General features: G+C 51.0%; 1 pseudogene, besides 1 other annotated feature; it reads right to left on the bottom strand.

Moving 5' to 3' along the window:
- Positions 1-573: 573 nt before the first annotated feature.
- CYCSP33 (CYCS pseudogene 33) lies at positions 574-1,170 on the bottom strand (annotated as a pseudogene).
- Positions 9,383-10,105: an enhancer, noted in NCBI's record as "H3K4me1 hESC enhancer chr13:24965836-24966558 (GRCh37/hg19 assembly coordinates)". NCBI's record gives its function as "activates a minimal SCP1, AML or CMV promoter by ChIP-STARR-seq in naive and primed H9 embryonic stem cells {active_cell/tissue: H9 hESC(naive and primed)}" and the evidence as "EXISTENCE:reporter gene assay evidence [ECO:0000049][PMID:30033119]".

The following is a 16,126-nucleotide window of genomic DNA, read 5'->3' as shown; positions in this document are numbered from 1 at the left end:
GAACATGCGATGTTTGGTTTTCTGTCCCTGTGTTAGTTTGCTGAGGATATCAGCTTCCAGCTCCATCCATGTCTCTGCAAAGGATGTAATCTCATTCCTTTTTATGGCTGCACAGTTTCTCATGGTGTTTGTGTACCACATTTTCTTTTTTGTTGTTGTTTTTTTAAGTGTTAAATAATCTTTATTTGATATTACACATAAACCACACTAAAATGCCTTTGAATAAGTAAAAGGAACCATCTTAAACACAGGGAATTCTAATGACACTGGCATAGTTAAGGCCAACAATACAAAGAAGACATTGCTACCTTATCTTCAACCCTTGCCTTTAAGAGGCAAATAAACACAAAACACAGGTGCATCTTGCTTGGTTCTGAGACAGTGAAGGAATTTCCCCAGTATTTAAATATATTCACATAACCAGTCATATAAATCTAAATATAAACCAATATAAATATAAATATAAAACCAATCTCCAATAAGTTTTAAGATGGTACTCACCATCTTAAACATTATTAACAAAGTCTAATCATATCTTTAGAAGGGGTAAACAGTGATAGCATTCACTGAATTGGAATTACTATTAATATTCAAAAACCAAACTTATTCATTTAACCACAAGCCAGTCTTAGTTTTAAATCAGGACTGCCCAACAAAATATTCTGACAGTCATTCATAATCTGAACTCTGGTGTATGAGATCTATTAAATTATGGTACACATAAAAAAGTCATGAGACATTTCTGTTTTGCAATATAAGGCAGTGGCCAATTATTACTCCCTAGCAGCTTTTTTGAGATAAGTTATCAAGTCTGCCCTTTCTGCCTTCTTCTTAATGCTGGAAAAGATCATTTTTGTTCCAGGAATGTACTTCCTGGGATTCTCAAAATACTTCATCAGTGTATCCTCTCCCCAGGTGATGCCTTTGTTCTTATCGGTGTCTATGTAAGATAATCCAATGGCCTGACCTATCTTCCACCTGAAGAGACCATGGAGATTAGGCCCAGTCTTGTGCTTGCCTCCATTTTCCATGGTGTGGCACTGGGCACACTTCTGAACAAAAATCTTCTTGCCTTTCTCAACATCTCTCTTTCTCAACATCTCAATATCTCTCAAATTCTCTCTTTCGTCACTGGCACTACAAATGTTCTCGCTCAGAAGCCACACGTCCTGCTCTATGTTCCACATTTTCTTTATCCAATCTATCATTGACTGGCATTTAGGTTGATTCCATGTCTTTGCTATTGTGAATACTGTTGCAATGAACATACGTGTGCATGCATGTATTTTTATAAGACAATGATTTATATTCCTTTGGGTATATACCCCATAATGGGATTGCTGGGTCTGATGGTATTTCTGCCTCTAAGTCTTTGAGGAATTGCCACACTGTCTTCCACATGGGTTGAACTAATTTACACACCCACCAACAGTGTAAAAGCATTCCTTTTTCTCCACAATGTTCCCAGCATCTGTTGTTTTTTGGCTTTTTAATAATAGTCATTCTGACTGGCATGAGATGGTATCTCATTGTGATTTTGTTTGCATTTCTTTAATGATCAGTGATGTTGAGCTTTTTTTTCATATTTTTGTTGACTGCATGCATGTCTCTTTTGGGAAGTGTTGTTCAGATCCTTTGCCCACTTTTTAATGGGGTTGTTTTTTTCTTGTAAATTTAAGTTCCTCATAGACTCTGAATGAGGTATTACCAGTGAAGGCTGAAAAACAGCAAAGATGGCAGCCAGCTCCTTCCTTTGGAAGCTCCATCCCAGGGGGATACTGACCTGTAGCCAGCCCACACATACCTGCAGGAGGTGGCTGGAGACCCCTGTTGGGCATTCTCACCCTGTCAGGAGGCATGGGATCAGGGACCCATCCAAAGAAGCAGTCTGGCTGCTTTGGGGTAGAGCAGGTGTGCTGCATTGTGGGGGATCCTTCCTCCTCCGGACCACCTGTATTCTCCAAAGCCAGCAGGTTGGAGTGGCTGAGTTGACCAAACTGCAGAGATGGCAGCTGCCCCTCCCGCCAGGAGCTCCATTTCAGGGAGAGATCAAAGCTCTGTCCATAGAACCGTTGCTGGAGTGGTTAAAGCCCCCACAGGGATTCCTGCCCAGTGAGGAGGAATGGATGGGGGTCCTGCTTAAAGAAGCAGTCTGGTCATGATCTGGCAAGCCAGCTGTGCTGTGTTGTGGGGAACTCTTCCTTGTCCAGACTGTCTGTATTCTCCATAGCTGGCAGGCTGGAGTGGCTGAGTCTATGAACCACAGTGGTGCCGGCTGCCTCTCCCCACCTCCCCGGGAACTCAGACCCATCTGAGGTGGATTCCAACCCGCTGCTGTTGGCAGGCTAGGATTCCAAGTCAGTGGGTCTTAACTTGTGAGGTGCTATGGAAATGGGGCCTGCAGAATGACGCTGCCTGGCTTCCTGGATTCGGCCCCCTTCCCAGAGATGCGTACGGACAGATTTCCTACTGTGCTGAAGATCCCGGAGGCTAGAGTGTGTAAAACTCCTGGGTTTCTGTGTGTGCCTGAGCTGATGTGCCCAGACTCCATACAGGTCTGTGTATCAGACCCACGGCCCTGGTGGCATGGGCTCACAAGGAATCTCCTGATCCATGGCTTGCAAAGATCCATGGGAGAAGCACGGTTTCCCGGGCAGGACTGCACACTCACTCACTGCTTCCCTTGGCTGGGAGTGGGGGTTCCTTTGGCTCCACGCCACCCCTGGCTGGGCCATCGCACCCTCTGCCTGCTTGTCTTCATTCTCCATTGGTCGACCTGTTCATCTAGTCAGTCCTAATGTGAGAACCTGGTTGTCTCAGTTGAAGGTGCTGAATTCCCTCGCCCCTTTTCATTCCTCTTTGTGAGCGCGGCAGACTGCAGCTGCTTCTAATTGGCCATCTTGCATCACTCTAAACATTTCTTTTCTAGCCTTAGTTCTTAATTCCTATAGTCCCTCGTTTATCACCAGTTTCTTGATAAAATAATCTGTCCACGTTCTCCAGTCATGGGATGATGACTCAGGCAGGGGATCCAGGACATTATCTGGGAAGTAGCTGAACTTGCAGCCCTGTCCTGTCCGGAACTGAGTTAACACACTGCAGAGAGGTACTCCTTCCACCTCTCGGCAACTGATGCCAGCCCTCAATAATTACATTTTTATTGAGGTATAATAAGTATTGTAAATTACATAAAATTAAACAATGATCCTTTCAGCTGGCACTTCACAGTAAACAGCATTATATGTTTGAAATTAATTTAGTCATCCACAGAGCCTAAAGCCATATGCCCTGACTATAATTTAGGATCTCAACCTAAGAATACACATTTTGGGTTATAGCATCCCCATCTTTCCTCCCTATGGTAGACTATCAAAAACCGCCACAATTCTTTATAGTTCCTTCCATCAAGAGTTGGAGTTTATTTTCTACTCCTTGAATCCAGACTGGTAGTGTAATTTGCATTGTCCAATAAAATGGGGTAGAAGTAATATATAATTTTGAGCCTGGGCCGGAAGAGGATTTGCATTGTTTTGTTGCCGCTCCTGGGACTCTTGCCTCTGCCGTCACGTGAACAGGCCTGAAGTAGCCTACTGGAGAATGAGAGACCACATGGGGCCATTCAGCCAAGTCAGGTAATTTTCTTTCCTTTCATTTAAAAAATCGGTTTCCTTCATTCTTTAAAAATATTTTTAACTGACACATAATACTTGTTCATATTTATGAGGTACACAGGGATATCTCAATACTTGCATACAATGTGTAATGATCAAATCAGGATAGTCAGCATATCTGTCACCTCAAATATTTATCATTCTTTGTGTTGGGAACACTCAACATCCTCTCTATGTAAAAATATACAATAAATTATTGTTAACTGTAGTCACCCTACAGCACTATAGAACACCAGAACTTATTCCTATCAGTAAGCTTAACTCTGTTATTTCTTTGTTGATTTTCTGTCTAGATGATCTGTCCAGTGGTAAGAGTGGGGTGTTAAAGGCCCCAACTGTTGCTGCATTGGAGTCTATCTTTCCCTTTAGACCTAATAATATTTGCTTTGTTTATCTGAGTGCTCTAGTGTTAGGTACATATATATTTACAATTATTATATCTTATTGCTAAGTTGATCCCTCTATCATTACAAAATGACCTTCTTTGTCTCTTCATACAGTTTGACTTAAAGTCTGTTTTATCTGATGTAAGTATGGCTACCTCTGTTCTCTTTTGATTTCTGTTTGCCAGGAATATTTTCTTCTATCCCTTCACTTTCAGTCTGTATGAACCTTTACAGTTGAAGTGAGTTTCTTGTAGGCAGTATACAGTGGGACTTTTTTTTTTTTTTAATCTTGGCAGCCAACTCTATATCTTTTAATTGGGAATTTGATCTGTTTACATTATATTCAAGGTTACTATTAATAGATGAGGCTTTATCCTGTCATTTTGTTCATTTTTTTTCTGGTTGTTTTATATATCCTTTGTTCTTTTCTTCTTCTATTTTTTTTTAATCTTTGTGGTTTGGTCATTTTCTGTAGTGATAAAGTTTGATTCCTTTCTCTTTCTCATGTGTATATCTGCGCTAGCAGTGAGTTTTATACTTTTGTATGTTTTCACAATAGTAATCATCCTCTTGCTTCCAGAAGTAGAACCACCTTAAGCAGTCCTTGTAAGGCCAGTCTAGTGGTAATGAATTCCTTCAGTTTTTGCTTGTCTGGGAAATACGTTATTTCTCCCTCATTTCTAGGGATAGCTCTGCTGGGTATAGTATTCTTGGTTGACAGTTTTTTTTTTTTTCCTTTCAGTACTTTGAATATATCATCCCATCTCATTGTCTACTGACCTGTAAAGTTTCCACTGGGAAATCCACCGTTAATCAAATGGAGTTTCCCTTATATGTGACTTGATGCTTTTTTCTTGCTGTTTTTAATATTTCCTTTTTTTTTTTTTTTGGATACAGTCTCAATCTGTCACCAGGCTGTAGTGCAGTGGTGTGATCTTGGCTCACTGCAACCTCCACCTCCTGGGTTTAAGCAATTCTCGTGATTCAGCCTCCCAAGTAGCTGGAACTACAGGTGCATGCCACCACACCCAACTAATTTTTTTGTATTGTTAGTAGAAATGTGGTTTCTTCATGTTGGCCATGCTCATCTTGAACTCCTGGCCTCAAGTGATCCACCCGCCTCAGCCTCCTGAAGTGCTGGGATTACAGATGTGAGCCACCTCACCTGACGAATATTCCCTCTTTTTGACTTTTGACAGTTTGACTATCATGCACCTCAGAGAAGACCTTTTTGGGTTGAATCTATTTGAGAACCTTTGAGCTTCCTAGATTTTGGTCATATCTCCCAAGTCTGTTTTTAAATCTCTTGATTGTATTTTTCTTTTTTTTTTTTTTTTTTTTTGAGACAGGGTCTCACTCTGCCACCCAAGCTGGAGTGCAGTGGCACAGTCTTGGCTCACTGCAACCTCCACCACCTGGGTTCAAGCAATTCTTGTGTCTCAGACTCCCAAGTAGCTTGGATTACAGGCATGCGCCACCAAACCCAACTAATTTTTGTATTTTTTAGAGACAGGACTTTGCCATTTTCATCAGGCTTTTCTTGAACTCCTGGCCTCAAGTGATCCACTGCCTTGGCCTCCCAAAGTGCTGGGATAACAGGTATGAGCCACTGCACCTGGACTCTTCATTGTGTTTTTTATTTTATTCCTTAAATTCTTCAGCTCCAAGATGTCTGTCTGGTTTTTAATGACATATATATCCTGTTGAATTTCCCATAAGATCATAAATTGTTTTTCTAATTTCATTGATTTGTCTATCTGTATTCTCTCGTATCTCATAGAGTTTCCTTAAGATCATTATTTTGAATTTCTTCTTAGCCATTTGATATACTCTTACAATTTAGAGTCTGTTAATGGGGAATTATTGTGTTTCTTTGGAGGTGTAATATTTCCTTTTTTCTTGTGGTCCTAAATTGATTTTTGCATATATGGGGTAACAGTCGCTTCTTCCAATGTTAGGGAGATTTCATAGAGAAATACTTTTTCTAATAACTATCTCTTACAGTGTTCATTGAGTAGGGTGCCAGTGAGGAAATGGCCAAACACTGAGAAGGTGTCCCCGGCCAGCTGACCCCCCATGGTGGCTGCCCTGTGTTGGGCAGTTGCTCCCAGCCTGAGCCTGGGCCTGGGGCAGGGGGCAGGAGGAAGGGGGTCTGCAATGGGGTGGTTGCCCTGCTGGAAGCTTCTAGCATAAGTGGTCACCTTAATGGCAGACAAGTGGGGAGACTGTCCGAGGTGCCTAGCGCCAAGATGCTGGGCGAGGTCTCCAGGGAGGTGCGCAGAAGGGGAGGGGCTGTGCACTGCTTCTTGGGTGGGACAGAGCAGGGACAGGGAATGAGGAGGCTGAACCTAGGGACCAGGATGGCCAGAGGAGGCTGGGTGGGGTAAGGGTGCAGGCAGGTAGGGAGCGTGTGTCTGAGAGGAGGGCAGTGTTGCTGGGGGAGCCAGCATGCTAGGAGGGTCAGGGAGGCTGGAGAGGAGGAGAGGGGTTGGAGCGGGGGTGGGAGGGGGGTTTCTGCTTAGGAACTAATTTCCTGCTTTGTGATGTCCTCAGGTTTTAAGTTGCCTGTGAGGAGGATCCTGATCCTGCAGGTGGAAAGGCTGACGGTGGCAGGTGGGGGTCCCCAAGCTGCCCCCCAGAACTGAAGGTCAGGCGAAGGCTGCAGGGTGGACATCAGCCCTGAGGCTCACCTCCCTCTTGGCCTCTTAGGGTGACACCTTTTCCTAGGAGCTCCCAGCGGGGCAGCCATCCCAAATCCAGGCCCATTGCCTCCTGTCTCCTTCCCCAGCCTCACTCAGGAGCCAGCTGGCCAAGGTCACCTTGCCTGTGATAGGCCAGTGTGGTCCCAGGTGGGGCCCTGATGCCTTGTCTGAGAGACAGGGAGGAGGAGGGGCCCCAGCCCCAGAGACTCTCTGCTATCCACACCCACAGACCCTCCCCAGCCCCCCAGCCTCCCAGCCCATGAGGGCAAGGGCCCAGGTGGTGGCTCTCTGTGGTCCCTGCAGTGAGTCTCCTTCCTGCTGTCAGTGTGCAGAGGGCCCCACATGCTCTGGGACCACGATTACATTTTCACAAAGAAATTGAGAAATTACAGCAAACATAGTTCAGCCACAGCACTGAAGGGGTTCCCTTTCTCTTTCTTCTTTTTGTCCTCTGTGAGTTCACAGTTACTTCTGCCCTGGCCATGTGCAGCCCCAAGTCTGGCATTGGAGATGGGTTTGCTGTTTTGAGGGTGGAGGACGTGGCCCAGAAATAGTAGTAGAAGGCAGCTCTCGGTGTGGCCAGCTCCCCAGCATGGCAGCAGACAAGAGAGAGAGAGCATGTGCAGGGGAACTCCCCTTTGTAAAACCATCAGATCTTGTGAGACTTATTCACTATCATGAGACCGGCACGGGATAGACCTGCCCTCATGATTCAATGACCTCCCACCAGTTCCCTCCCACAACATGTGGGAATTATGGGAGCTATAATTTGAGATTTGGGTGGGGACACAGTCAAACCATATCACTGTCTATGACTGCTTTCATGCAACAAAATCAGAGTTTAGTAGTTGCAACAGATTGCCTGATGCACCAAGGCTAAACTATTTACTAGCTGGCCTATTGCAGAAACAGTTTGCTGACCCCTGGTTTAAAGTGTTTATGTTATGATTCCTTTATACTACAAATTGTAGAACAAGCCCTTTATCAAAGATAAAGTACACATTAATTTTTAGCCAATTAGATCAGAATTATTCCAAATCTGTAGAACATGAATTCCCAGGAATGGGCATCATAACTTCAAGTTACAGTCTGAGCATGGTGGAAGTTGGAAAGAAAATGCTTGCACAAGGGCAGGTCACTCCTACCCTGCTCTCATCTCCTTCCTCCACGGCCCTGCCTCACCCACTCTGTGTTGTCCCAAGTACCAGGGTCTTTGTCTTGCTCACTTTTAGGAGGTCTCTCTCCTTCTCCCACTAGAACATGAGCTCCTCACTAGAGGAACATCTGTCTGCCTCACTCTTTGTCCCATGGGCAGCAAAGGCCCAGCTTGGGTCATGGACCAGATGAGGAATAAGCCCAGATATGGAAGGACCGGCTGTGAGTTCCAGGTCATGATCCAGCACACTGGCTTTCGGAGGCATAACTTTACCTTTCTTTTCAACAGTAGTGAATTTCCCCCTCCCCTCCTCACCCTCTCTGTTTTTCAGTTTTTTAGCTGATATCTATAATTTAGAAAGCCATAAATACGAACATAGATGAAATATTAGAGGGTGGCAGTCTGAGAAAAGTGTGGACAAAGAGGCTCTCACTGCCTTCAATAGGTCTTAAAACCACTTTCGTCTCCATGCAGCCTCAGCCCAGTGAAACTGATTCATTGACCAAATTGGCCATTTAAAATTTAAAAGCCTAAGCTCTCTCTGTTCAGCTCCCTCCTCTCCAGATTTGTGGGGCTGCAGAGAGGCACTCGGGGTGTCTCTAGTTTCTTTTTTAAGGATGATCTACAGTGAGGCAACAGGCCCCTTCTTCCTGGAGAGCACACACTTGCCCACAGCCACAGCTTAAAGCGGGCGGCCATGCCAGGCACTGGCTCTCGGGACCACAGAGGGCACCTTTGCAGGTGCTGTCCTAGGAGCCCATCTGTGGGGATAACCTCCCCTCTGAGCTCCTGTCCTGGTCATTTGGAGGAATAAGGACTGGCAGTGCTTCCCAGGAAGGAAAAAGGTGGAGAGCAGCCTGGGATCCCAGTCCATGGCAGCAGCTGCATGAGCCAGGGCTGCTCTGACTAGCCTCAGGGAGGCTGAGAGTGCCCGATCTCTTCTTCTGAAATCATCTTGCTGTCCTGAGCAGAGTTACAGCACTGGGCAGGCCTGGAGGCTGATCCCAAAGGTGACACAGGAGTAGGCATAAGCCTCCTGTGCAAAAGAGTTTTATGGCAACCAGAGGAGACAAGGAGGAAGGGCATCCACGAAGGGCTCCCTGCAGGAGGGGGAGCAGCAGCATGATCCGCCCGAGAGCCCATGAGCCGGGACATCCAGCCACGCATCCCAGGCTCTCTGTTCCAGGCCAGCTCCCGAGGAGGCTAACTTCATGGCACTTCTGCCCTGTGACAGAGACAGCAGGAGGTCCCAGGGCATTTGGCAAAGAGCTGTGGGCGTTGGCAGCCTGAGGTCGGCCCTGTGTGCTGAGATACAGGGGGGGCTCTACAAGTCCCAAGGCCTTGTCCTCCCGAGCCCCTCACCTCCAGGACGGCAGAAGGTCAGCCCATGCCGGGCCACACCCCCAACCCAGGCCCTGCCGCCAGGAGGCTGGCTGCTCCCTCTCCAGTGCCCACTCTGGATAGAATCAGGAGCCTCCCAGCCCCAGCCCCCTGCAAAGCCCCAAGTCTCCGTTTAATTACTCTATCTTATTTTGTAATTACACAATAAGTGACATACTAAAAAACATCATTAAAATTTAAGCCTTCGTAATAACACCATTTTATTACATTTTGATGACTTTCTAACTGTGATACTCTATTATTCATTCCATGTAATTTTATGAAGACACAGAGATTTTTAATATCTAATTACGGCACGGAGTGATCGTGAAACCCGTCTCATGCAGAAGCGTGCTAAACCTGGTTCCCAGGAGCACCTGGTGCCCAGGGAGGAGGAGCCCGCCTCATCTAGGGTCAGGAGGGACCCACGAGGCTGCGCGGGCAGCAGTTCTGCTGTGCGCTCTCAAAGGAGCGTGGAGACGGATGGGAATTCTGCAGCCAGACCCACCGCGGCAGTCAAGAGATGTTTCCGCAAGGTGAGCTGGACATGCCTAAGGTCCTGGGGCTCCCGGGTGGCGGCTCTGGGTGGCCCAGCCTGTCAGGCCACTGCCTCAGAGAGGCCCCAGCTCCATTGGACAGCTCCCTGCAGGGGTGAGTACCCTACAGCAGTGATTCCAAACCCCCAGGAAGGCTCCTGGGCTGGCCTGGACTTCAGGACATCCCACACGAGGCGCTAGGCAGAGTCTCTCCTCCCAGACTTTAACACCTGGGGGACTCCAGGGACTTCTAGTCTCCTAGAAGCAAAAACCTCAGACTAGGGAGGGGTCACCTGCCCTGCCTGAGGCCACCCTTCAAGCCATTTGTGGCCCCAGGAGAACTCAAGTCCCACACCTGGGCCCCCAGCAGACTGACCTGCTGTAGACCTACCTTATGGGTGAGAGGCAGGCAGGTCGGGGAGTCCTGCAGGGAGCCTCGGGAGGCAGGAGGGGAGCAAGAGAGGCGGACTAGAGGGTACACTCCACCGAGCTTCCCACCCTCCGCCTTCTCCAGATGCTGCTCGGACGATTCCCGCGGAGGGTCCCACACCGGGCCCTGCCTGCTCAGCATGCCTCCCTCCAGCCTGTCTTGTCTCAGGGACTGGCCTGAGAATTCCTCGGAGCAGAGGAAGGCCCTGGACCCCTAGGGAGGAGGAATTCTGAAACGCCGTTACTGGAAATGTCCTCTCCCTTGCGTGGCCTGGGAGGTCCTGCTCCTGTGAGCCTTGGCCGCTGGCTGGTAACCCCACTCCCTCTGCTGCAGCACCCCCATACGGGCCTCCTCTGCCTGTTCTTGGACCTCTGGCTGCAGATCTTAGAAGGCTGAAATGGGTAGATGCGAGGCCTGGGAGCACCGTGGCCCCTCCTGGCCCCTGGGCCTCCTGCCTGGCACTCCATGTTTCTCTGAGTCCCTGCTGGGCCTCGGGCCTGCTCTCGGTCCAGGTCACTGAGCGCACCCCACCCACTGCCACACCTGTCACACGCCAGAGCCCTAAATGTGGTGTCTGGACATAGTCTCTCTCAGGGCTGAGTTTCTGCCATCCTGAGAAGTGAGAAGTGGCATCTCACAGTGCCCCCTTGCCTCCCATAGCAGACCCAGGGGACCCCAGACCCAGGGGCCAGTGAGGTCGCACCGGCAGACTGGAGGCCCCAGCTGGCAGGGCCCAGGCAGCGTGGATGGGGTCCTGGGGCCACTCCACAGGTCCAGGCAGCATCTAGTTGAGAACCCAGAGCATCCCAAGGCAGGCAGGCAGGCAGGTCCTTGGCGACCCCCTCCCTCCCCCAGCGCCACGGACATGGAGCACTTGCTGCCTTGTGCGAGGACGGTAGTCCACACAGCAGCCCCTGGCCCTCTGAGAAGTGCTGCCCATGGCGGCAGAGAGGTTCCGCCCCAGCCAAGATGAAGGGATGGGGCCTTGGCTGTGGCCCTGTCAGCTCCAGGGCAGAGGCTCACCGGGTGAGCCGGGGTAGAGACAACCGTGAAGCTGAACGCTGGGCTGACAGTGGGGAATCTGGGGAGTCCGTGTCATCTGAAGGGGAATGGGGTGTGGCTGCATTTATTTCCGTAGCTGGGCCTGGGGCCTCTCTGGAGGGATCTTCTCTGCAGGAATGAAGTTCCAGCCACGTGGGGCTCCCACCTTCCAATCTCATGACTGAGTAGCTTTGCTCAAGCTCTGGCAAAACTTGATCATCCTAGAAACGAGAACGCTCGCTTGTCCCACTCGGAGGAAGCTCAATTAATGGCGTCAGGCGCGGTCAGCCCTTCATCAGTGCGGGAAGGTGGCAGCCCTGAGCCACGCAGCAGTGCCAGGCCTGCAGTCCTGACAAGGGGGTGTAGACCCCAGCCCCGAGGGACCACAGACAGCCCTCTGACAGATGATTCAGTGTGGGACCACCACAAAACCACGCAGGCTGGGCAGGCTGGGTACCTCCAACCTTTTCCCATTTGCCTAAAAGTAAGTGAACATAAAATTGAAAAATCTGAAAGAGGATGTCTGGGGTGATTCTGGCTCCATGCCATAGGGGTTTCTTTCTATCTGGAGGGGCCCAATGCTGCCTCCATGACATGGGGCTTTTTAACCAAGAGGTTCATAGGCAGGGGCCATGGCTGTCCTGGGGTTCATGCAGACAGGCAGGACCTGCCTTGTTCCAGGGTCCCCATGTCTGTCCTTACCTGCATCTTCCAGCACAACCTGCCTGCCCAGGAGCCCCTGACGGGAGCCCAGGGCCTCGGAGTCTCTCCCGTGTGACACCAGTGCTATGCTAGTGAGACCCCGTGCTTCTGGGCCAGGCATGCAGGGCCGTTGGTGTGGGGACTCAGCCCCTCTGCACTCCTGAGAGAGCAGCTGGGCTGCGTCTACCTCCTGCTGCCAGTGGCATCTCCTCTGCACCCTCCTCTCCCCTGCAGCACCACCTCCCTTCCCTTCTCAGGAGAAAGCTGAAGGAGCCATGGCAGCTGGATATGCAGCCACCCACTACTGTCCCCAGACCTGCTCCTGGTGAGGTGCTGCGTGTGAACAGGGGGTCAGGGCAGGCTCTGGCAGGGAAGGTTCCCTGGGGAAGGGCTGGAGAGGGGCCAGCCGGGGCCTATTGAGGAGACAGTTCCCATGAGAAGTCTTAGCCGGCTTTTCAAGGCATCGGGCACAGCAGTAAGACAACTTTTATTTAAAATGCCCGAGCCTCAGTTTCCTCTTCTGTAAGATGTTGATTCTGCCTCATACCTCCCAGACTTTTTGCCCGTGCAGAATTCAATGGTTTTTAGTATATCTACAAAGCTGCACAATCAAACCATTACCATCATCTGATGTTAGAACCTTTCCACCACCCCCAAAAGAAACCTCCATATCCATCGTGGCCACTTCCCATCTGCCCCAACCCCAGCCCCTGGCAACCACAAAGCTACTTTCTGTCTTTAACAGCTTTGCCTGTTCTAAGCACTTCGTATAGAAGGGGCCATTTGCTGTGTGGCCTTTGTGACTGGCTGCCTCGCCCAGCATGGTGTGCTCAGCCCCTGTTAGCATGTGGTTGGTGCCTCACTCCGCTGGTTGCCAAATCACATCGAAGGCCTCCCAGGTTCCTGCTGGGTTCCACCCAGTGGCTGCATTGTTCTATATTCCCACCAGCGGCAGGCAAGGCTCCAATTCCTCCATGTCCTCACCAACACTCGCTATTTTCTACAGAGAGCAGCTGGGGCTGTGACCATCTCCTGCCTCCAGGGTCCCCATGCCTGTTTCCACCTGCATTTCCAGCACAACCTGCCTGCCCAGCAGCCCCTAATGGGAGCCCAGGGCCTTGGAGTCCCTCCTGTGACCCTTCCTTTCCTCCCTCCCTCCTTTTAACCCTCCTTCCTTCCCTCCTACCTTCCTTCTCTTCCTTCCTCCCTCCTTCCTTCCCACCCTCCCTCCCTTCCTCTCTCCCTTCTTCCTTCTCTGTCCTGCTCTCCTTCCCTTCCCACCCTCCTTCCTTCCCTCCTTCTTTCCTTCCTAACCTCCCTCCCTCCTTCCTTCCCTTCTTCCTTCCCTCTTTCTTTCCTTTCTTCTCTCCCTCCCTCTCTCCTTCATTCCCTCCTTCCCCTCCTTCCCCTTCTACTCCTCCTCACCATCCTGAGGAGTGAGAAGTGGCATCTCGCTGTGGTTTTGGTGGATTCTCTAATGACTAATGGCGTTGAGTCTTTTCATGTGCTTGCTGGCCATTTGCAGGTCTTCTTTGGAGAAATGTCTTTTAAACTCCTGTGCCCAGTTCCTGGTTGGGTTGTTTGTCTTTTTGATGCTGATGCTCCTAGGAGTTTTGTGAGACTTGATGTGGGACCAAGGGGACCATCTTGAGCTAGCGGGAAGCCACGGAGCCAGGAGCCCTGTTCTCCTTCGGATCCCCCAACCCCAGTTCCTCTCTCCTCCCCTCCTCTGTCCCTAGCTCCCTCTCTCTCCAGGCTTTCTGAGGTTTGTCCACACTTTGCAGAAAAGGCAGGGTTGGACCCAACTCCAGGGTGGCCACTGACCAGGTGTGCGACTCTTATCACTGGGAGAGGGGTTGACATCTCTGACAGCGTCATTTGCCTGACAGTCTGAGAGTTGCTTCAGACCCCAGGCTCCCTGAAGGGGCAGAGAACACAAATCAACATAGAGATAGTTACCTGCAGAGCCACTGAGGGAGAAGTCAAAGGGCTGATGAATGCTGAATGGCTTCCAGACACGCCTGACATCAGGGAGGAACGCTGGGCCTCAGCTCGCCCCCAGCCACCCTTGGCGCTGCCCCCAGGAACACTGACTGTGTTCTGTGCCTGGGGGCCCAGGCGTGTTTGAGCAAACAGCTTTCCTATTCCCAGATCCCAGGAGAGGTGGGTGGGAGATAGCTGGGTGGAGAGGGCGTATCCCCGATCCCCAGGTGGGGGAGGCCTGGGGAAGGCCCCATGGAGGGTGGGGAATGCTCTTGGCATCCTCTCTGCCCCTGCTGCTCCCACAGCCTCTTCTGACGTCATCCACGGCTGGGAAGCCCCTTTCTGTGCCCTTACCAGGAAACCGTGGAGGGCTACTCTGGGGCCCTCTTGCAGCCAGGGCCAGGAAGACCTGCCCAGGGTCACATAGTCACCAGAGGCAGACTTCCAGCCCTGTGGATCCCACAGCCAGGGATGACCACACAGCCCTGACTGTTGCTTGGACGGACACCCACAGCCTTTCCCCTGCGCAGGCGCCACAGGCCTCCCACACCCGTCTTCACAACAACCCTATTAGGTAGTGATTCCCACCACCACTTTACACCTGAGAAAACCAGGGAACAGAGAGGTCACGTACCTGCCCAAGGTCACACAGCATGTGCCTCCAGGGCCGAGAGCTCGAGCCCTTGCTATGAGCCCTCTTTTAGCCCCTCCAGGCTGCTGTGACTGTGTGTCACACACTCGGGGGTTGTGAGCGACAGACATTTATTCCTCACTGTAACTGCGTGTTACACACTCAGGGGTTGTGAGTGACAGATATTTATTCCTCACTGTAACTGCGTGTCACACACTCGGGGGTTGTGAGCGACAGACATTTATTCCTCACAGACCTGGAGGCTGCAAGCCCAAGATAGTGGCATGGCGCATCTGGTGTCTGGGAGAGTCGCCTCCTGGCTTCTCCATGGCGTCTCCTCACTGTGTCCTCACGTGGGGAGCAGCAAGTGTCTCACTAGGCCCCTTCACAAGGGCACGAGTCTTGTTCCTGCAGCTTCCCCCTCATTACCTCATCACCTCCCAAAGCCCCCACCTCCTAAGACCATTACCGTGGGGGTGAAGATTTCAACACAGGAATTCTGGGGGACTCAAATATTTGGTTTATAATGAACCCTGTGCCCAGCCCGAACACTGACCTCCAACCCAGGGAGGAAGCCTTTGCCAGTGGGAGGAAGGGAGACCAAGAACCACAAGGAGGCCTCCTCCCCTCACCCAGACAAAGCGAGAGGCCCGTCTCCGAGCGCCCACACTTCCCTCTGCCACGGAGCCGCGAGATGAAGCTGTCCTGTTTCGGATTCCTTCACACGCCCCTCACCTCACTCCTTTCATGCAGGAGGAGGCTGATTCGGGCTCGGATCCAGTTCTCACTGCCCGGGGACCCCCAGGCCTAGGATGTCACCTTTGGTGTAGGATGTCATGTGTGCTGTGGTGGGCAGATTGAGATGCTATTGGAGCCGGCCACTCAAATGTGACAGACGAGGACAAACAGCCTGGATGACCTCTAGCTGCAAGGACTTCCATGGACAGTGGACATTCCCGGGATAATAGAGCTGTGAAAAGGGGCCGGGTGGGGGCAGGGGGTGCCAAGCCTGCAGGGCACCACAAGAGCAGTGAACAAGGTGCTGGTCAGAGACCCTGCCCATGGCAGGATCTCACCTGGGGCTCCGGCGTCACGTGCTGGGTAGAGGCTCTCGGCCCATCTGCGGACAAAGCCCGGGCTCCCCACTGCTGGGAGAGGGGCTTGGAGGGGAGGTGGGCTACAGGGCCTGCCTGGGAGGGGCAGGGGTCTGGAGGGCATCCCGAGAGCAGCATTGAATGTTGGGGGTGTCCTTCCAGCAACCCACCTGTCCCCTCAGCTGGGACACCCATTTGCAGGATTGAGGGGAGGGTTGGGTGAGCGGTGCCTAAATGCCCTTTCCTTCCTTGGGGCCGTCCTTGTCCCTTTTCCTCTTCCCTTCACCCTCACCTCTCCTCCTCCCAGGATTCTAAGGGGACCCCTGAGGCCCCCTCTGGCATGCCCTGTGCAGCCCTCTCCACTGGAGGGGACAGGGTACGGAGCAGTTGACTTCGAGTTACTCCGAAGGGAGA

The sequence above is a fragment of the Homo sapiens genome, chromosome 13 (assembly GCF_000001405.40).
Source record: "Homo sapiens chromosome 13, GRCh38.p14 Primary Assembly".
Classification (NCBI taxonomy): domain Eukaryota; kingdom Metazoa; phylum Chordata; class Mammalia; order Primates; family Hominidae; genus Homo; species Homo sapiens.
Note: the sequence above shows the minus strand (reverse complement) of the source record. Positions and strands in the feature narration are given on the sequence as shown.